Source organism: Homo sapiens, chromosome 8 (genome assembly GCF_000001405.40).
Source record: "Homo sapiens chromosome 8, GRCh38.p14 Primary Assembly".
In the NCBI taxonomy this organism is placed as follows: Eukaryota; Metazoa; Chordata; class Mammalia; order Primates; family Hominidae; genus Homo; species Homo sapiens.
In genome coordinates, this window is record NC_000008.11 from 9,721,475 (window position 1) to 9,744,560 (window position 23,086).

Genomic DNA, 23,086 nt, shown 5'->3' on the forward strand with positions numbered 1-23,086 from the left:
GTATAATTAACCTCTTTCCTAACCTTTTAATTTTGTCTGTGGATTATATCTGCTATGGAATGAAATGACAAACCAGAAGAGTAAAATGTAGAAGGCTATAGACTAGGAGTCAGAAGTCCTGGTTACTTTTTTCTACCTACAGTCTGGTAGTTCTTAACTCTATCAGGTACAGTGCCCGCTTTTTATAAAGAATGTCTTATGACATATCCTTATGACATTTCAGAAGTGAAATTCATAGATAATATGACCTAACTGTATAGGTACCTTTCCAAAAATCTATATAAAACGCCCTAACTAGATCGGGCATGGTGGCTGACGCCTGTAATCCCAGCACTTTGGGAGGCCGAGGTGGGCGGATCACGAGGTCAGGAGTTCCAGACCACCTTGGCCAACATGGTGAAACCCCCATCTCTACTAAATGTTAAAAAATTAGCCGGGTGTGGTGGTGCGTGCCTGTAATTCCAGCTACTCGGGAGCCTGAGGCAGGAGAATCACTGGAACCTAGGAGACGGAGGTTGCAGTGAGCCAAGATCGCGCCACTGCACTCCATCCAGCCTGGGTGACAGAGCGAGACTCCATCTCAACAAAAAAAAAAGAAAAGAAAAGAAAAAAATGCCCTAACTATAATATAAAGGGAAAATAGCAGTAAGTTACAATAAAATAATTTATAGTTCTTATGTAAATAGATTGGACACAACTATATTAGAAGACAAAACATGACCCCACAGATTTCTAAAGGGACCCCAAGAAATACAGCCAAGTTGAGAATCACTGCTATATGATGCAACAGGGACCCTTCTAGGGCTTGTAGAGATTATGATATGTGTATATTGTTATAGGAAGATCAGAGCTAAATAGCATAATAAAACTAATTGTGCAACATTGTGAAAACTATTGATGAGGATTTATTTTCCTCATGCTAGGTCATTCGTAGATAGTGATCATTCTACTTCAGCCTTAATGGTGATCTTGAGACGGGAAGATTTAGAAGGAAATCTATCTAGCATGTCTTCACTATCAACATGAGTAAGATCCAGCTGAACAAATGAAATTTTCTATATAAATTTCAAGCTTGAACTCAAAAAAAAAAAAAAAAAAAAGACTTTGACTTCCTGTTTTTATGGAGTGATAGAACATTTGCTTAAAGGAGATATTACTCCTTGCCTAGGAAATATTTCTTCCCTCTCAGTAAATTCTAATGATTTCTAAAAGTTGTGATTTTTGTTAAAATTTCTAAATTTTCTCATTTTACTGAGAATCATTTAGTACCGAATTTTAAGTTAGTTTCTGTATGTTTTAACCATAAGTCAGGCAAACACATAGCTTTGCCTCAAATTATGTGCATAGCTTTTAGAGATAATTAACAAAATGGAGAAGAAAGTATTGAATAAATCAAGCATATCAGATCCATATAATACTTTTAAAATGTCTTCTTACTGAATGCAGTTAGAATATATGAGTTCTGGCAAAAGATAAAACTAAATACTGAATACAAATGAAATATTTTTCTTCGATTATTTTGATAAATCTCCTTTAAAATTGATTTTTGAAATAAGACATTATATAGGTAATTAAATGCTTAATTTAGAACATGCAGAACTTTTTAGTTTAATTCTTTATTGATCTGGAAAGCTAATACAAATAAAAAATATATATAGGAAAATTTTGCCCTCCAAAAGGTTTTTTTTTTTTGTAATGGGAATTGTTTCTTATTTGAAATAGGATATGAGTTTTTAAACTACTATTTTTACCAGGAATTTGTATGTCTCTGTAGACTATGGACCATGCATTAGCTGAACTTTTTAGTTATTTATTAACCCAATATCAGGTTATATCTATAATGACTTTTGAAAGAATATATTAATATCAGTCAAATAAGATGTATAGTAATTTGTTTTGTTCTGGATAACATTTTATAAGATTCATTTAAATACACTTGTTAATACGGGTTTGAGATCTACTTTAGAAACCTGCACTTTCAACTCTCAAGTCTGTAGTTGCCAGAAGTTTACATTAATAAAGTTTTCATTATAAACTGCTGGCAATATTTGTGTCAAAACTAACATCAATGTAAAGAAAACAAGAGAAGCAGCTTTTTATGAATTAGCACTTTAAAACATTATTTCCAAAGATTTGATTTCTTTCTCTAGACTTGCTCTTTCCAATATGGTAGCCACTAGCTACATCTGGCTACATTTAAACTAATTAAAATTAAATAAAATGGAAAATCTTTCCATTAGTTACACTAGCCACATTTCAGGTATTCCGTAGTCACACGTGGCTAATGGCTAGCATAATAGCACAAATAACACTATTTCTAGCACCACAGACAGTTCTTTTGGCCATTTCTTTTAAGTTCGATCTTGACCTGAATTCTTGCGATTGTATAACCCAGTGTGGGATAAGCATTACTTTCATCTACACAGGTAAAGATTAGGCTTATGATACCTAAATTAAACATTGAAACCCCATTTACAGTGGCACATTGAAATAAGCCATTAAGACCTGTTGCCAGTCCAGTAGTCTAATATTGATCAAACTACTAAGTCTATAAAAGATGTTTTTAAAAATAGGCTGCTTCCTAGCGTTTCTAACTTTTTAAAAACTCTAATGAGCCAGAAAAAGATTGGAGACAAAATAAGAAGCCCATCTTTAATCTTTGATTCTAGGTGACTATAATTTCATGTTCTACAGGCTGAGTGTGGTTGCTCACGCCTATAATCCCTGCACTTTGGGAGGCAACGGTGGGAGGATTGCTTGAGCTCAGGAGTTCAAGCCCAGCTTGGGCAACATGGCGAAACCCCGTCTCTACTTAAAAATTTTTAAAAATTAGCCGGGTATGGTGGTGCATGCCTATGGTCCCAACTACTCAGGAGGCTAAGACAAGAGGATCACTTGAGCCCAGGATTTCAAGACCAGCCAGGGCAACATAGTGAGACCCCATCTCTAAAAAGAAAGAACTAAACAAATAAATAAATTTCATGTTATACAAACCTAGCATACTTACAAAGAATTTTACTAATATAGTACTTTGCATACAAGCTACTCTTTCACTCATGTTCCTTTTTTAATTTCATTTTTTATATCTCTTTTAATTGTGCATCACTTTATACAAAGTTCCTGGGCTGTATGTAAGTCATTTCAGCTAATACATTTTTCGCATTATTTCTAAAAACAAGTCTATCCTAGGCCTTATTCAAGATATGTAATAGGTGCAGGTCTCTACAATCTGGATAGTAATTAACCAATATTTTAAACATCTTTACTTTCTCCTCTTTAACCAGGACTAATAATTCTTTTCTCATAGTTCCAGAAGCATTCTTATATTTGCTTAAGACTTTTTGCTTGATTGGAAAATTATACTCTTTAGTAGACAGTCCGCATCAAGATATGTGTTCCAATTTCAAATAGTTCTTAGATTTCAAAAATTTTGCCATATTAAATGTATCCTTAAAGTGCTGTCATCGAAAAATACTCAGTTATAACTCTATATACATAAACAATTGTCTCTTTATTTTGTTGAAATGAAAAACTAAAAATATTACCTGTAGATATTGAAAGGATATATCAGTGAATTTTGTCAAATCCAGAATCACTGTCATAGAGACATAATATACACACAGCATCTTACCTATAAATGCGGTAGTGTATGTGCACACTTATAATGGAGACTAATGAGACAATGAAAGAACAGAATAAGAGCAGCCAAAAAAAGAGCTAAGATTTGATAGACTCATTGACCCCAATACATAGTGGAAATCCATCCAGGAAATGCTTTTGGAATGCTCTCTGTGTGAAAAGGAATATAAAGATGAGCAAGATCTGGTTCCTTTCCTCAACATTTCCACAAATTAAAATGTAATATAACTCTTAAGAATAATAATTCAAAGATTTACTTTGTTATATGAAACACTCTCTTTTTTCCTCCCTTAATCTCAGCATTTTACCTGCTATTATGATCAAATAAGTAGTTTATCTTTTACTGAAGAATTGTCATAACTTATTCTGTAAAAGCCACTCTCTCCTGAAATCTACAACCTCTTCATAGCATCACTTGATCCTCCCACTTGGACATTGGGCTCAAAAAAGATGTCTCTGATCATAAGATAATACAATCTTAGATCTGAAAGATTTTCAGCACTCACTTTATAAGGGCAAAAACTAAACTGTTACATGAGTTGTCCAAAGTTGTAGATTATAGAGCCCAGTCTAAAATGTAGGCCTCCTGGAGATCCATCCTTTTGTGTTAACATAATGTGTGCTCATTCTAAAAGCCACACTTCATGTACATAAACATACTTTTGGTTGACATATTATAAATTGTTTTCTTTAAAAACTTATTTTATTTGGGTCAATGTGAAATGAATTTTCAGTTTATTTACATTGGATTAATCAAAATAATAACTCATTTGTTAGCCTCTAGACCTAACAGCCCAATTTAATTATATTCTGTTTCGCATTGCTATCATACCTCCAATTATACAAACATTGAAAGTTGCATTTTCCTAAAGCCATTCAATAAATGTGAATTAAACAAATGTCTGTATTTAGTAGCCCTTTTCTGTTCACTGATTATACTTCACAAGATGATTCTGATTTTAAAAGTAGTACATTGAGACTAAAAGAAAAATCAAGGCTGGGCGCAGTGGCTCACATCTGTAATCCCAGCACTTTGGGAGGCTGAAGCAGGAGGATCACTTGAGCCCAGGAGTTTGTGACCAGCCTGGGCAACATGGTGAAAACCCATCTCCACAAAATATACAAAAACTAGCTGGGCGTGGTGGTGTACACGTGTGGTCTCAGCTACTTGGGGCTGAGGTGGGGAGGATTGCTTGATCCTGGAAGGTTGAGGCTACAGTGAACTGTGATCACGCCACTGCACTGCAGCCTTGGTGACAGAGCAACTGTCTCAAAAAATAAATACATACATATGTACATACATAAAAAAAGTAAACATTAAGTACTGAAAGTTGTGTGGCTTCCCTAGGTTTGTATAACAAATCTATGGCAAAGTTTTGCTACAACATTTAGTAAAACCAAACTAAATAATTTTTCCTCCTGAACTACTTTGCAATCCCTCAAGAACCATTTTTGTTTCCAAAATCAATGCAGTTGGAATATATGAGTTTGGATATATATATGAGTTCTTTCCTTCCTTTTATGCAGAGAGTACACCTATACGTACTTCTGATGTTGATTATCGACTCTTAGAGGCATCTAAAGCTGGAGACTTGGAAACTGTGAAGGTAAGTCAGTGCCCTTAATATCTGGAATAGCACTGTTGAACTTTGCTAACCAATTCATTTTTAAGCTTCTAAGTATATCTACTCAAATACAAACAGTAAAAAGGATGAACAGAGTCATGGGCAGGAAAAATCTGTACTACTATTAAGGAATTCCCAGTATGTGCCTTGTATTTATGAAACCATTTGTATATATATGTGTGTGTATGTATATAGGTAGATAGACAGATGGATATATACATACACACACACACATATACATGGTTTTTAGTAATTTTTCTTCAGGTTACATGAAAGCTCTTTTAATTTCACTTATATTAATTACAGTGTTACTATTTTTGGCTGCATTCACAAAATGTATAAACTAGATCGAGCCCAGACATTAGCAGGATGACATTTGAAAGAATATTTCTTGATCTTTTCTCAGAGGTTCACACATTTATTCTAGGAAAGCATTCCTGTGATCCCTCAACAGTGGAATTATTCATATGCAGAAGATAGATTTTTTCCCTGTGTAGCTCTACTTGCTTCAAAAATTTTATCAGTCTGTATTTGTGGTATAGAAACAATGGTTGTAGTTTTATTTTTTTTCAAATATAGTCATATTCTAATACTAAGTATGCTTTTTTAAAACACACATTTCCCATCTATAATCATTCACTTAGGGATGAAGTTAGCAAAAGTTTTTTGTTTGGAGATTGGTCTTTTGGGGTTTGTTTTTTGTTGTTTTTTACGAGACAAGGTCTTGCTGTATTGCCCAGGCAGGCCTCAAACTCCTGGGGCTCAAGCAATCCTCTTGCCTTACCCTGCCTACTATCCAAGTAGCTGAGACTACAGGTGTGCACCACTGCACCCAGCTTTGCCTTTATTATTTTTATCGAAAAGTTAATAGCAAATTTGCTATTGACACTCAGTACTTTTTACGACATACTGTCAACTTTGTCACCTCTTCTTAAGCAAACTTTTTGCGATTTTTAGCAAACTAATTTTAGCATTCTTGATAACATATACTGGTTGAAAGTGACGGTAAACACGTTTTAAGCTCTGTTGCCTAGAAATTTTATTTTTGTTTTAATATGTGGGCACTTCCAGGATCACATCCAACTTACGATAGCATCTAAGTTATTTAAAGAATAATAGTAAATTTTAGTTGTGATAGCCACTAGGGAGAAATTTTTATGTTGTCTTAAATCTAAAACTGTACATTTTTTCTTAAAAATGCTTCATCACTTGAAATGTATTCTAATAAAAGAAAATTCTTAAATATAAGACGATTAGGCTTCCTTTCAGAGCATGATCATCTCAGTGCTTGAATTGCTATATGTGCTTATTATAATTAATACATACTTTATTTTTAAAGCATACAGTTTTAAATTCCATGTGTTTTGTATATGATAAGCAGATGTATACTACAGCTTTTAGGTTTCTTAAACAATCCATTCACAGTGAAGGCCTAATTTATTTTGATCTGTGGAATGGAAGTAGCAAAAGAAAACAAAGCAGCACAAATTGAGTGAGAATTAGGCCTGGTAAATTTCTTCCCCAAGAGACTTTAGAAAGTAGTAGAACTGAGGTTTTAGAAGAAAAGGCTGCCTGCTGAATAAAGCATTTGAAATTGTGAAAAGTAAGTAGGAAGGATGTGAAATTGCTTTGCCATTCGAAAGAAAACTGAAACAGAATAAAGAATTTCTAAATCTTAAAAATCAAATATTTAATAAGCAGGATGGGCTTCTATTTCTGTAGCCTCACAAAATGAGTTGTGTTTCATTCCCTACCTATTCCTATTTTGTCAGTATTCTGACAAATAGAATAATAATAGAGTTAATTTAGAATGTAAGAACCAGTGGGGGAAAGCAGCATTAGGAAGAAGCTTCAATCATGTCAGACTCCTTAGAGGGTGTTTATTATCAATTTTTGCATCTTTTCTTTTTGATTTATGTATTTATTCATTTTTTATTTAATTTGATTTGTCAATTATGCTGTTTATATATTAATATAGCCACAGACTCATTTGTCATGAAAAGATATTTGACCTGGTCACATTACAATGGCTCTTCAGATTTTAGAGGCTGGTGCATTTCCGTATAGAGTTGATGAAACTGTGAACTCGCCTTTACTGCCCAGACTCCTTCCTGTCATGTGAAAATTACACCACTTAAAAAGCGCTTGTTTTTATCCTACCTGTGTGAAAGCTTCTTGTCTTAGTCTATTTGTGCTGCTATAAAAAAATACCATAGACTGGGCAATTTCTAAGCAATAGAAATTTATTTCTCTCAGTTCTGGAGGCTAGGAAGTCCAAGATCCAGGTACTCGTAGGCTTAGTGTCTGGTGGGGACCCCGTCTCTCTGCCTTCAAGGTGGTGTCTTGTTGCTGCCTCTTCTGGAGGGGACAAATGCTGTATCCTCACTTGGCAGAAGGCGGAAGGGCAAAACGGCCAAATGCTGTGTGAAGCCTCTTTTAGAAAGGCCTTAAGCCCACATTCAGGAGGGAAGAGTCCGCATGACCCAGTCACCTCCTTAACACTATTGCATTGGAGATTAAGTTTCAACATGAATTCCAGAAGGACACAAACATTCAACCCGTAGCACTCCTACTTCCTCTATCAGTAGAAATTTTTCAGGTTCTTAATTTTTATGTAATAATAGCTTATTACTGTGACGGAAGTGGCAGCAAAATTAGTGAATACCTGAAAATCCCCAGGGACCCTGCAATCGTCCTTTATAGCCTAGAGCATGCTATTGTCTGCTCTGCTTCATTTGCTTTTTCTGTTTTTCATTGCCTTTCTTCTGATCACTTCCCTCAAGTTGGATAATTAGGAAAGTAAGCGATGATGCATGATGTAGCAGAAAGACTAAGAGGTTAAAAATCAGTAAAGCAGGGTTTGAGTCTTTATTCTACCCCTTACCAACTGTTTGACAAGGATAACTCACTTAACCTTCATCCCTGATTTATTTATCTGTAAAGTTAATTTATAAATTAATCTCCATCCCTGGTTTGTTATCTATCAACTTCTTAGACATATAATAATTTCCTCACTGAAAGAATATGATATTCTTTTTTTTTTTTTTTTTTTTTGAGATGGGGTCTCACTCTGTCACCAGACTAAAGTGCAGTAGCGTGATTTCGGCTCACTGCAACCTCTGCCTCCTGGGTTCAAGCAATTCTCCTGCCTCAGCCTCCCAGCGAGTAGCTGGGACTACAGGCACGCGCCACCATGCCCAGCTAATTTTTGTATTTTTAGTAGAGATGAGGTTTCACTATGTTGGCCAGGATGGTCTCGATCTCTTGACCTCGTGATCTGCCTGCCTTGGCCTCCCAAAGTGCTGGGATTGCAGGCGTGAGCCAACGCACCTGGCCAATATTCTTTATAAACTGTAAATTATTATTCAGATATTATCATTACTCACTTATTACCACCAGTGATACAGTCTTTCATTCCTTCCATGGCATCCTGCTGCTTTGTAAACAAACGGAGCTTACAATTTAGATTGTGCTGAAATTGAAGCATTCAGGGAGAGATAAGGAGACATAGAAGAGATTTGGAGGACATCTCTGAAAGAGATGGAAGTAAAGCCTAAAAACTAGGGTATGATTAAAAACCAGTTTAACTTGTAAAGGTAAGCAAACGTTGCCCCAAAAGGCAAGTAAAGCACTGTTGACGACATAGCTTTGCTACAGTCAATCAAAAGACCCAGGGAGTGGCCCAGGCAGAAAAATAATTCTCCAGACCCTTTTTGCTTGCTTGACTCACATTAGAGACGGCAAGAGCTCTCTAGTTACACAGTCAACTGAGGTTGGTGTTGGCACAAGCAGATACGCTATGACAAACAGTAGAGCATATCTCAGGGAGGAAAGACTTACAAAGATAAAACAGCAAGGCATTATTTGCTTTGGAAATGCTTGCTTTATTGTGGGTTTTTCTATTTGATTCCGATTTTGGTTGGGAAATGTTGAAAAACATTAATTTGCTCTGTACATAATAAAAAATATTTGTCGTCACTGAAAGGCATAGTGCTGATTTCTAAACATTTGTATTGTCTAATCTTTGGAAATAAATATTCATTAGACAATTATAATTTACTTATCCAAGATGTTGAACTATTTTGGGGCAAAACCTGTGAATAAAGAGTAATGTTCGTTTTGTGTTTGTCTTTGTGTGTGCACCACGAAAGCAACTTTGCAGCTCTCAAAATGTGAATTGTAGAGACTTAGAGGGCCGGCATTCCACGCCCTTACACTTCGCAGCAGGCTACAACCGCGTGTCTGTTGTAGAGTACCTGCTACACCACGGTGCCGATGTCCATGCCAAAGACAAGGGGTACGTGTTAGAAGTTAGCTGTTTGGGAGTCATTCTCTTCATGCTTAAAAAATTTAAAATATTTTTGAAGTCTTAGATTTTTTCTGTATTAAAAAAGTAATCGTTATTTTTTGTTTAAAACATAAATTAAAACATAGAAATGTGCCAGGCATGGTGGCTCACGCCTGTAATCCCAGCACTTTGGGAGGCGAAGGCGGGCAGATCACCTGAGATCAGGAGTTTGAGACCAGCCTGACCAACATGGGTGAAACTCTGTCTCTATTAAAAATACAAAATTAGCCAGGCGTGGTGGCACATGCCTGTAATCCCAGCTACTTGGGAGGCTGAGGCAGGAGAATCACTTGAACCCGGGAGGTGGAGGTTGCAGTGAGCTAAGATCTCAGCATTGCACTCCAGCTTGGGCAACAAGAGCGAAATTCCATCTCAAAAAAAAAAAAAAAAAAAAAAAACATAGAAATGTACAGTATAGAAATTGAAAATTTCCTGTCAGCCCACCTCCTGCTCAGAGATACAGCATTCAAATGTTGACCTTATTCCTCCAGATATTGTAAATGCATAGACTTGTGTGTGTGCTGTGGCGATGGTGGTGGTGGTGATTTTTAACACAAATGGTGGTGCCTTCCTATATGGTCTGCTTTGCAGTTTACTTTTTTCCACTCAGTAGTGTATCTTGAATAGTCTTCCCATATCAGTACTTAATAGTCTCATTCTTTTAATGCTTGTATATAGTATTTTATTACATTATATGAATTTTGTTTTGTTTTGTTTTTGAGACAGAGTCTCGCTCTGTCGCCCAGGCTGGAGTGCAGTGGCACAATCTCGGCTCACTGCAAGCTCTGCCTCCCAGGTTCACGCCATTCTCCTGCCTCAGCCTCCCGAATAGCTGGGACTACAGGCGCCCGTCACCACGCCCGGCTAATTTTTTGTATTTTTAGGAGAGACGGGGTTTCACTGTGTTAGCCAGGATGGTCTCAATCTCCTGACCTCATGGATCCACCCGCCTCGGCCTCCCAAAGTGCTGGGATTACAGGCGTGAGCCACTGCACCCAGCCCTATATGAATGTTTTTATATAGTCTGTAAGTTATTGTTTATTCTTCTTTTTTGCTATTAAAAATGTACAGTCTCTTCTAAAAAGAAGTCATCCATCCCAAAGACATCAGTATTCCTAGAAGCATAGTTTTATTTTTACTAATTCAGATACTGTATGTTTTATATTAGTTTGCTAAATTATTTTGTCTAGGCAAAGCTTAAGGCAGCTACTTAGAAATGTGAGAAAGGTATTTTAACTGATATTAATTCCCGTGTTCTGAGTTAATTTCACATCATCTCAAAATAAGCCAGTAGCTTTCTGTGTAATTACATACAAGTGCACAGTAGAATTAAACTGCACGATTTAGGCCTCATCGAACCATTATGTATTTATTTATCTTTTAAAAGGGACACATCAGACATGAATATTTCAAACTGTTTCAGTGCATTGGAGAGCAATCAGCATTTGCTTCTATTGCTCATTTTAACAGTTAGCATATTTCATCCCAAAACTAAAAAAAAAAAAAAAAAATGCACTTGATACTTTGCTTCTGCCATGTGTTAACTTCAACATTTTATTCTTTTGATGTACTCTTTTGTGGGAGCATCTTTTTGTCCTTTTAGAATGTCAGCTGCTTACAAATCAGAGCTTAGACTCCTCTCAGAATAGTTTGCCCATTTCTCATCTGAGTAGAACTTATAGTTGACATCGTCATTTTTCTTACTGAATACTTCTCTGAATTACCTGGATTATGAATTTTCAATATTTGGCACCTCAATATTTACACCTGTGCATGGAAATCACCACTGAATCACCACTATGATTAAACCACTATGATTTAATCACCACTATGATTTACACAACTTTTTACCAAGGTAGAACTTGCCTAAATAAGCTAATTGTATTATATTTTTTATAAGTAAGCATACAATTTTCATTAGCGAAACTCATAAAGATAAGGATTGCTGTGAGTATATATCCATCCCCAAGAAACTTAGGAAAAAATCTTTACATTGAAAGAACATTTTTGAAATTATTACTCCTTATTTAGAAATGGATAACTATATCTTAAAGAACAGAGGTGGGTGTATTTCTTTTTGCGCAGTGTTCAGTATAGTCAGTACCATAGAAGAATGGTAGGATTTTTATTATAAGAATCATTGTAACTCAAAGGTTTGTTTTATGACTTTAAAATAACTTTCTTTTGTTTAGTGGCTTGGTGCCCCTTCATAATGCCTGTTCATATGGACACTATGAGGTGGCTGAGCTTTTAGTAAGGCATGGGGCTTCTGTCAATGTGGCGGACTTATGGAAATTTACCCCTCTCCATGAAGCAGCAGCTAAAGGAAAGTATGAAATCTGCAAGCTCCTTTTAAAAGTATGTAGTTTAAAAAGTTATGAAATATAACTAATTTTATTTATATTTTGGTTATTACTTGAAAGTAAGTTGGGGTATGTTATTCTATTAAGAACAATACTGCTGTAGAGACTGCTCTCATTTTCTATTTCCCAGAAGACCGTTTATGTGATATGACACATAGCTTTGCGTAGTGCCTAAAGTGAATATCTGAAATGGTTTAAGTCCATGTCATAAAAATTCATCAAAGTAGGTTTTAGAAAGAGCTGAAATAGTTTGCATTGCTTGTCTAGTACTTATAGTATTAATATCAGAAAAAACTGTACAGGAGAAACAAGCTTTTCAATCAAGTTGGGTTTTTTTTCTTTGTTGGCTATTTTATTATTGTTAACTAACTCATTCACTAGTAAACATCAAATATTGTGTCTTTAAGAACTTATTGTAGTATCAGATTTTTATTAAAACATAAGATGATCTCTAAAGTTGTTCATATAGATTTTAGATACATGTAAAAGAGTGAAAACTAGTAGTTATATGAAACTAACTATAATTTATGCTCACTTAAAGTATATTTTTAAAAAACGACCAGATGTGTATTTATGAGATTTTCTTTTGCTTTTTTTTAACTACGGAAAAAAAATTGAAGTGTTTAAATAAAATTCTTCTCCCTTCACTTTTATGATATCAAATACATTCTTATGAATCTTGAGAAAAACACAATATCTGATACTCATTTTTATTATCACTGGTTGGTAAGAAATAACTTCCAAGTCATTGTGAATCCATTGTCCACCTTGACTTACAACTAATTTCCGCAGTGAGCCCATGACAGTCTGTGGCCGACCCATAATAAAAATTATTGACTTCTATTTACTTTATTTAATAGCTATTGGTAATTAAACTTTTAAAATCTATAATTTTTAATACATTTATATCTAATTTCATGATAGATGTTAAGACTTAGGATAAAAATCTTAAAAATATTACCAAACTTTATTCTTACTGATGGCCTTTAGAATTAAGTCCTTTTTTACCAGTGTGTCTTACTCTACTCTCTTCTTTTTCATACCTACTGAGTATCTTTATGTAATTGAATCTGGTCAAAATTAACATCCATGCTATTCTTCAAAGTAAAATAGGTTTCCAAAGACAACTTGGAGTCTGAGAAAAAGTGTATTATATAGGTTGTCTCAAAGATACTTAACACTCTCCCTACTTTATCATCACCATTGATCCTGAAGCTTTGACTGTATAGTATTAATAGTTAGAAAGCTGATCCATTATATTACTAAGTAGGAATTTTGCAAAGTGTTTTTCAAAATGCATATAGAGTAGATATCTTCCCCAGAGGAACAAAGGTAGAGTAAATTAATTACCTACCTACCTACCTACCTACTTACTACAGAAAATACAAACCCCATTTGGTTTTTCTTCTTTGTAGCATGGAGCAGATCCAACTAAAAAGAACAGAGATGGAAATACACCTTTGGATTTGGTAAAGGAAGGAGACACAGATATTCAGGACTTACTGAGAGGGGATGCTGCTTTGTTGGATGCTGCCAAGAAGGGCTGCCTGGCAAGAGTGCAGAAGCTCTGTACCCCAGAGAATATCAACTGCAGAGACACCCAGGGCAGAAATTCAACCCCTCTGCACCTGGCAGGTAAGCGCCCCCAGTGCCTCCAAGCCTCCTTTTCCTTTCTCGGACACCTAATACAGTTTACTAAAAGACGAAAGCCATGCTGAACACAAATGGGACTACTTAGTAAAATGCTCTTGATTGACATAGTTTTGTATAATTTCTTATTGTGAAGTCCCTCCATTATGTGATAACAGTATTAGCTTTTGAAGCAAAAAGTATTAAAACCTTAACATTTTCTGGTCCTTATTACATATGTATGTATTTTTTTTCCTTTAAGCTGACACGTTTCCTGTATTTTTTTTACTCTAAATAGCAGGCTATAATAACCTGGAAGTAGCTGAATATCTTCTAGAGCATGGAGCTGATGTTAATGCCCAGGACAAGGGTGGTTTAATTCCTCTTCATAATGCGGCATCTTATGGGGTAAGCATACTAACATTAAAATCTAGAAAACTGACCGCACGCGGTGGCTCACGCCTGTAATCCCAGCACTTTAGGAGGCCGAGGAAGGTAGATCACGAGGTCAGGAGGTCGAGACAATCCTGGCTAACACGGTGAAACCCCGTCTCTACTAAAAATACAAAAAATTAGACGGGCATAGTGGCGGGCACCTGTAGTCCCAGCTACTCGGGAGGCTGAGGCAGGAGAATGGCATGAACCCGGGAGGCGGAGCTTGCAGTGAGCCCAGATCGCGCCACTGCACTCCAGCCTGGGTGACAGAGCGAGACTCTGACTCAAAATAAATAAATAAATAAATAAAATAAAATCTAGAAAACTTCCCTGGCATTTACGACTTTATTAAATGCATACTATGCATTAAGTAAGTAGATATCTAACTAATAGCATGATTTAGCATAATTTTAATCTTTTGTTCAGAGTTTTGGTGTATCTTCCCGGCTAAGCTTAACTACCTTTTGGCCAACAGTCATGCTTTTTATTGCTTTTTGGTCTCAGCACGTTATCAAGCACAATAATAGGCATGTAATGGGTGCTCAGTTTATATTTATCAATATTGTAATATAATATATATAATGTAAAATAATATAATAAATACCAATTTCTTAATTCTACCTCAAGTATATTTTAAAAACTAGAAAAGCTGTGCAGCTGTTATACAGGCATGGAAAGTATGTTGGCTTACATTTATCATCAGCACCTTAAAAATATTCGAGTAGCAGGCACAGTGGCATGCGCCTGTAATCCCAGCCATTCGGGAGGCTGAGGTGGGAAGATCGCTTGAGCCCAGGAGTTCAAGGCCACCCTGATCAACATAGTGAGACCTCATCTAAAAAAAAAAAAAAAAAAAAAAAATTAAATGGTTGAGCAGTTGATATATATGGTTTCAGAGAGTAGGAATTACTAGCTAAAACCTCCAGGTGAAAGTCCAGAGTTTTGGACATGAAGTCCTTGCCCACGCCTATGTCCTGAATGGTAATGCCTAGGTTTTCTTCTAGGGTTTTTATGGTTTTAGGTTTAACGTTTAAATCTTTAATCCATCTTGAATTGATTTTTGTATAAGGTGTAAGGAAGGGATCCAGTTTCAGCTTTCTACATATGGCTAGCCAGTTTTCCCAGCACCATTTATTAAATAGGGAATCCTTTCCCCATTGCTTGTTTTTCTCAGGTTTGTCAAAGATCAGATAGTTGTAGATATGCGGCATTATTTCTGAGGGCTCTGTTCTGTTCCATTGATCTATATCTCTGTTTTGGTACCAGTACCATGCTGTTTTGGTTACTGTAGCCTTGTAGTATAGTTTGAAGTCAGGTAGTGTGATGCCTCCAGCTTTGTTCTTTTGGCTTAGGATTGACTTGGCAATGCAGGCTCTTTTTTGGTTCCATATGAACTTTAAAGTAGTTTTTTCCAATTCTGTGAAGAAAGTCATTGGTAGCTTGATGGGGATGGCATTGAATCTGTAAATTACCTTGGGCAGTATGGCCATTTTCACGATATTGATCCTTCCTACCCATGAGCATGGAATGTTCTTCCATTTGTTTGTGTCCTCTTTTATTTCCTTGAGCAGTGGTTTGTAGTTCTCCTTGAAGAGGTCCTTCACATCCCTTGTAAGTTGGATTCCTAGGTATTTTATTCTCTTTGAAGCAATTGTGAATGGGAGTTCACCCATGATTTGGCTCTCTGTTTGTCTGTTGTTGGTGTATAAGAATGCTTGTGATTTTTGTACATTGATTTTGTATCCTGAGACTTTGCTGAAGTTGCTTATCAGCTTAAGGAGATTTTGGGCTGAGACGATGGGGTTTTCTAGATAAACAATCATGTCGTCTGCAAACAGGGACAATTTGACTTCCTCTTTTCCTAATTGAATACCCTTTATTTCCTTCTCCTGCCTGATTGCCCTGGCCAGAACTTCCAACACTATGTTGAATAGGAGCGGTGAGAGAGGGCATCCCTGTCTTGTGCCAGTTTTCAAAGGGAATGCTTCCAGTTTTTGCCCATTCAGTATGATATTGGCTGTGGGTTTGTCATAGATAGCTCTTATTATTTTGAAATACGTCCCATCAATACCTAATTTATTGAGAGTTTTTAGCATGAAGGGTTGTTGAATTTTGTCAAAGGCTTTTTCTGCATCTATTGAGATAATCATGTGGTTTTTGTCTTTGGCTCTGTTTATATGCTGGATTACATTTATTGATTTGCGTATATTGAACCAGCCTTGCATCCCAGGGATGAAGCCCACTTGATCATGGTGGATAAGCTTTTTGATGTGCTGCTGGATTCGGTTTGCCAGTATTTTATTGAGGATTTTTGCATCAATGTTCATCAAGGATATTGGTCTAGAATTCTCTTTTTTGGTTGTGTCTCTGCCCGGCTTTGGTATCAGAATGATGCTGGCCTCATAAAATGAGTTAGGGAGGATTCCCTCTTTTTCTATTGATTGGAATAGTTTCAGAAGGAATGGTACCAGTTCCTCCTTGTACCTCTGGTAGAATTCGGCTGTGAATCCATCTGGTCCTGGACTCTTTTTGGTGGGTAAACTATTGATTATTGCCACAATTTCAGAGCCTGTTATTGGTCTATTCAGAGATTCAACTTCTTCCTGGTTTAGTCTTGGGAGAGTGTATGTGTCGAGGAATGTATCCATTTCTTCTAGATTTTCTAGTTTATTTGCGTAGAGGTGTTTGTAGTATTCTCTGATGGTAGTTTGTATTTCTGTGGGATCGGTGGTGATATCCCCTTTATCATTTTTTATTGTGTCTATTTGATTCTTCTTTTTTTCTTTATTAGTCTTGCTAGCGGTCTATCAATTTTGTTGATCCTTTCAAAAAACCAGCTCCTGGATTCATTGATTTTTTGAAGGGTTTTTTGTGTCTCTATTTCCTTCAGTTCTGCTCTGATTTTAGTTATTTCTTGCCTTCTGCTAGCTTTTGAATGTGTTTGCTCTTGCTTTTCTAGTTCTTTTAATTGTGATGTTAGGGTGTCAATTTTGGATCTTTCCTGCTTTCTCTTGTAGGCATTTAGTGCTATAAATTTCCCTCTACACACTGCTTTGAATGCGTCCCAGAGATTCTGGTATGTGGAGTCTTTGTTCTCATTGGTTTCAAAGAACATCTTTATTTCTGCCTTCATTTCGTTATGTACCCAGTAGTCATTCAGGAGCAGGTTGTTCAGTTTCCATGTAGTTGAGCGGCTTTGAGTGAGATTCTTAATCCTGAGTTCTAGTTTGATTGCACTGTGGTCTGAGAGATAGTTTGTTATAATTTCTGTTCTTTTACATTTGCTGAGGAGAGCTTTACTTCCAACTATGTGGTCAATTTTGGAATAGGTGTGGTGTGGTGCTGAAAAAAATGTATATTCTGTTGATTTGGGGTGGAGAGTTCTGTAGATGTCTATTAGGTCTGCTTGGTGCAGAGCTGAGTTCAATTCCTGGGTATCCTTGTTGACTTTCTGTCTCGTTGATCTGTCTAATATTGACAGTGGGGACTTCATGTCCAAAACACCAAAAGCAATGGCAACAAAAGACAAAATTGACAAATGGGATCTAATTAAACTAAAGAGCTTCTGCACAGCAAAAGAAACTACCATCAGAGTGAACAGGCAACCTACAACATGGGAGAAAATTTTCGCAACCTACTCATCTGACAAAGGGCTAATATCCAGAATCTACAATGAACTCAAACAAATTTACAAGAAAAAAACAAACAACCCCATCAAAAAGTGGGCGAAGGACATGAACAGACACTTCTCAAAAGAAGACATTTATGCAGCCAAAAAACACATGAAGAAATGCTCATCATCACTGGCCATCAGAGAAATGCAAATCAAAACCACTATGAGATATCATCTCACACCAGTTAGAATGGCAATCATTAAAAAGTCAGGAAACAACAGGTGCTTGAGAGGAGGCGGAGAAATAGGAACACTTTTACACTGTTGGTGGGACTGTAAACTAGTTCAACCATTGTGGAAGTCAGTGTGGCGATTCCTCAGGGATCTAGAACTAGAAATACCATTTGACCCAGCCATCCCATTACTGGGTATATACCCAAATGAGTATAAATCATGCTGCTATAAAGACACATGCACACGTATGTTTATTGCGGCACTATTCACAATAGCAAAGACTTGGAACCAACCCAAATGTCCAACAATGATAGACTGGATTAAGAAAATGTGGCACATATACACCATGGAATACTATGCAGCCATAAAAAATGATGAGTTCATATCCTTTGTAGGGACATGGATGAAATTGGAAACCATCATTCTCAGTAAACTATCACAAGAACAAAAAACCAAACACCGCATATTCTCACTCATAGGTGGGAATTGAACAATGAGATCACATGGACACAGGAAGGGGAATATCACACTCTGGGGACTGTGGTGAGGTCGGGGGAGGGGGGAGGGATAGCATTGGGAGATATACCTAATGCTAGATGACACATTAGTGGGTGCAGCGCACCAGCATGGCACATGTATACATATGTAACTAACCTGCACAATGTGCACATGTACCCTAAAACTTAGAGTATAATAAAAAAAAAAAAAAAAAAAAAAAAAGAAAGTCCAGAGTTATCCTTTCAAACACTGTCATCAGTTGTAAGAGGAAGAGAGATGGATTGCAGTGCCTTGATGCCGTATGTCAGAACTGACTGACTGGAAGTAACTAAGGCCCACTCAAGCCTGGCTCACGGCAGAAATAGGATGAATGCTCATGTGCTTGACAGTTCATCCACTTAATCCCTTCTTGACTGTAAAAACCCACAGATGCCAGTTCATACGTACCAGGTGTTCTCACAGTTGGAATCACTCTTGATAGAAGGTGGTTTCTAGATTTGCAAAAGCCTGACAAACTATAAATAAAAACCAAACCAACCCAACCACCTTGATTACCATATTCTTCCTCCTACCGCCTTCTCCCTGGCCCTTTGTAATGAGACTGTCGTCTCTCAGACCCATTTTACAAAGACCTGTATTTCAGAGAGAGGACAAATCTGAGTGAGGATACTTTTAAGGAAAGCAACAATCCGGTTTTTTGAAAGAAAACTATGCTTCCAAGTATGATATAAATTAATTGAAAGTATCATATTTAATGAGTGTTAGTACTGAAATCCTCTTGAAACTACAGTATTTAAAGTTACCTTTCTAAAGATGAGTAGTCTTTTATTAAAATTCGTAGAAATTTTAACCTTCCTTCACATAAGGTTCTCAATTTCTCTGAGCAACAAATACTTCTACCAAAGACTTAGCATGCTAAATATTTGCTGCTAACATACTACATATACATTTATATGTAATTCTTGTTGTTTTTTTTTTTTTTTTTTTTGAGAACAGGTCGGACTGCAGTGGCGCTATCTCAGCTCACTGCAAGCTCCGCCTCCCGGGTTCACGCCATTCTCCTGCCTCAGCCTCCCGAGTAGCTGGAACTACAGGCGCCTGCCACCACGCCCAGCTAATTTTTTTTGTATTTTTAGTAGAGACGGGGTTTCACCGTGTCAGCCGAGATGATCTCTATCTCCTGACCTCGTGATCCGCCTGCCTCGGCCTCCCGAAGTGCTGGGATTACAGGCGTGAGCCACCACGCCCGGCCTACATGTAATTCTTGACCCTTAAGTTATAACTTACACATGTATATCATTTGGAGACAAATTTTCAGCACTTCTTAGCATAATTGTTCTCTTCATATGGTTTTCTACTAATCCTTTTGCTAAGCTTCAGTTAAGGGTTTATAAAGCCAATGGGATCGGTAGAACTGAAATTAGATCTTTTATCGTCTCTGTAAACTTACTATGAGTAGGGACAGATGGTGGCCATAGAATTATAATAATGAACTGATCTAGTAAGGCTTATGTTACACTGTCAACTGTGTAGACTACAGTAGATCCCATACATTGTGGATGTAAGGAAGTTCTACTCCATTAGCCTTCACCTTTCACAGTCTTTATAGCAGTCACGGAGGATAAGGAAAAGAAAAATTAATTTATAAAGTATTTTACCTTTTGATCCTCATTCTTCTCATGGGATAGCGTTAAGATGTGTTCTACTGCATTAGTCTTCACCTTGCACAGTCTTTATAGCTGTCACAGAGGATAAAGGAAAGTTAATTTATAAACTAAGTATTTTACCTTTTGATCCCCATCAGTTAAGATGTTACTTACTCTACGTGTGTGTCACTCGATGACCACTGTGAAGACAGTAAAATGTACAGTGGTTCTCTTGTGGCTCAAGCGTAATGTAGAGTACTGGTCGACCTTGTCTAACTTCACGTTCCCTTGAGGCTGACTTGCTGTCACCTGAAGAGAGGTGTAATGCAATCGGTCTCCTGACCGGAAGTCCACTCTTTCATTTTCATAAACTTTATTCACCATCACCCATAACTCCCCTTCTCCTTTTCTAACTCCAAGTAAGAAAAAATAATGAACACTTTTTTTCACTATCTCTTTTTATGGTATCCTCTTTTTATGTTTGTTAAATCCCTACTACTTAGCTCTTTGTAAATGAAGGTAACTTACTGAGGTGAGAATGATCAAAAAATTCTCCAGGCCTTGTAAAGGGCATTTGATAGAGGTTTTGATCAACCTGGTTCATCTCATCCTTGTATGGAAGAATGCAAATGGGCTACATAATGTGTTTATAGCAGGTATTTTTACCTCATTGTGAGGGTGGATTGAGTCACTCAAAAATTTTTTTCATGTATTAAACTTGTAAATTTAAAAATCAGGCATCCGTGAGTTGATGACTGTTACTTTTTTTTGGCAAACTTTGACTCTGGTGATTTCTAGACCTTTTTTTAATTACCTTTTTTTTTTTTTGGTCAGATACATGAGTGTGATAATACCTTTTTTTTGTTTTTTAACATGGGCAACCCACTTCCCTCAGCAATCTCGCATGACATACAGTGACTCTCAGTTGGTATTTTCCCTGTTCACGATCTCTGCTCCGCAAAATAATTTTATTTTATGCCACTTGTAAAACCTATAATCTATTATTAGTAACCAATCAGTAACCATATTAAGTAGTATTTCTCTTAATCTCAATTAATAGACTTAAAGTAAGGCTAGGCATGGTGGCTCACTTCTGCAATCTCAGCACGTTGGGAGGCTGAGACAGCAACATGGTTTAAGGCCAGGAGTTTGAGACCAGCCTGGGCGACATAGTGAGACCCTATCTCTATATAATTATTTATAAATAAATATTTAATAAATATTTATTTAAAATATAATGAATTAAATTAAGAAGTATTTATTAGTACTCCTTAAATATATATACTTATATATTTAAGGATATACATGTATATCCTTATATTTAAGGAGTAATAAATACATACATTTATATATTTAAGGAGTACTAATATTAACACAATATAAAAAGTTTAAAAAGCTACTTTGTCTCCCCTTAAGAGTAGATACAACTGTGTTCTATTATTTGTAGATTGATAAATCTGTGTATCTTTCAAAAGTTCCTTTTTATTCATTCTATCCTGCCTTGGCTGGATATTTTAATGAAATCATAGGACTCCAGTCTACATTTCTATTAGGATAGAAAAACACTGATTATGTTGTATTCGTCCCATGAATTTGATGATGCTTGAACTAGCCTGGCCACATATCATTTTGTGGAGTAGATTTTCTGTGGCATATCATCTGGAATACAGCTTCTATTCTGAAAATCAAGCAATTTATAGAGCAACTGTAGGTATAGTGTTACCCAGTGATCTCTACTTAAATCATTTCTTCTTCCTAATATTATCTCTTTCCCATTTTCAGCTTGGAAGGAAAATGGCTCTTGTGTTTTAGTCTAGCAAACTCTGCAGGCACCTGTGGTTTAATGGAAAAACCTGAACTTAGGGTCTGAATATCTGGGATCTAGTCTTTCCTCTTCTGTTTTATAACCCAGTAGTCTTCAGCAAGTGTCTAACTTTTTCTCATCTTTGGTTTTCTCAGTAGTAAAAGTTGGATTCCAAGACCTCCTTTCCAGCTTGTTGTAATGATTAAATGAGACCATGCATGTGGAAATTGCATTAACTAATGTAAGGCATTATAAAAATGCAAGGTAATACTGTTATTATAAAATAACTTGCTTCATGGCCGGGTGCAATGGCTCATGCCTATAATCCCAGCACTTTGGGAGGCTGAGGCGGGAGGATCTTTCAAGCCCAAGAGTTCAAGACCGGCCTAGGCAACATAGCGAGACCCCATTTCTACCAAAAAATACATATCCATATCTATAGATGTATAGATATTAAAAATTAGTAAATTCCTTGCTTCCCACAGTTCCTGTACTAAGCCAGTCAGAATAAGGGCTGCATGTCACTCCTACATTTCACAGCCTTAGGAATAATCTATATATTTGACTGGCTCAGTGCTGTGTTAAATAAACACAGATTAATTGACTAGGCTGAGGATGAAATAATAATCTGAGGTAGCTGTGAAATTACATAGTTATTTACTTATGTAGTTATTTATTGATCATTATTCCTTCATACTTATTTACTTTTTTCCCCTAGAGAGCTCAATCTGCTCTGTGTGTGTCTTTGAGCCTTTTTTGTATAAAAAGAACCTCAGTTTTTCCAAATGGAGAAAAAAATACATATTTATTTAAGAAGCATCAATAAAAATTACAAGTTGCATGAGAGTTGATATTAGTGGTAGTGTGCCTTACTGTGTCGGTGTTCTTTATATAATAATGCCTTGTGTTATATTTGAATACATGTTTATACAAGACAGTTAACTTTTCTGCTAAGTCAGTAAATGGCATTGATACTTATTACCACAAAGCATGTAAATTTATATCTTATAAGAGTAAATCAATTGACTGATTCATTTTCTCTCAACTGTTTTTATTTTCCAGTGCTTTCTCTAAAATGGATAACATTTGGGGAATTTCATGACATAATTGTAATAAAGCCTCTGTACAATTAAATGGCTTTAACTGAAGCCAAGCATGTTTCTCTTTCCCCTACTTCCCACCTTTTTAAAATTAAAAGCTTCCCAGTCTTTTTAGGTTGTATTTGTCATTTAAAGCATTTTGTATTGCAGCT

At 36.3% G+C, this 23,086-nt stretch overlaps 1 protein-coding gene and 1 non-coding gene across 4 annotated transcripts in view, besides 1 other annotated feature; both read left to right on the top strand.

The window, feature by feature from the left end:
- The window catches only part of TNKS (tankyrase), a 226,435-nt gene that overhangs the window by 165,563 nt on the left and 37,786 nt on the right, over nt 1–23,086 (top strand). For all 3 annotated transcript variants that reach the window (NM_003747.3, XM_011543845.4, XM_011543846.4), the window contains exons 13-17: nt 5,167–5,246; nt 9,416–9,561; nt 11,805–11,970; nt 13,391–13,610; nt 13,903–14,012. In NM_003747.3, coding sequence (NP_003738.2) covers nt 5,167–5,246; nt 9,416–9,561; nt 11,805–11,970; nt 13,391–13,610; nt 13,903–14,012 — 722 coding nt within the window. The remainder of the gene's footprint in view (nt 1–5,166; nt 5,247–9,415; nt 9,562–11,804; nt 11,971–13,390; nt 13,611–13,902; nt 14,013–23,086) is intronic.
- Nucleotides 7,426–7,485: an enhancer, noted in NCBI's record as "active region_26987". NCBI's record gives its function as "activates an Ori minimal core promoter by ATAC-STARR-seq in GM12878 lymphoblastoid cells {active_cell/tissue: GM12878}" and the evidence as "EXISTENCE:reporter gene assay evidence [ECO:0000049][PMID:35858748]".
- MIR597 (microRNA 597) lies at nt 20,198–20,294 on the top strand. Its single transcript, NR_030327.1, has one exon. It is a non-coding gene; the product is annotated as a microRNA 597 (primary transcript).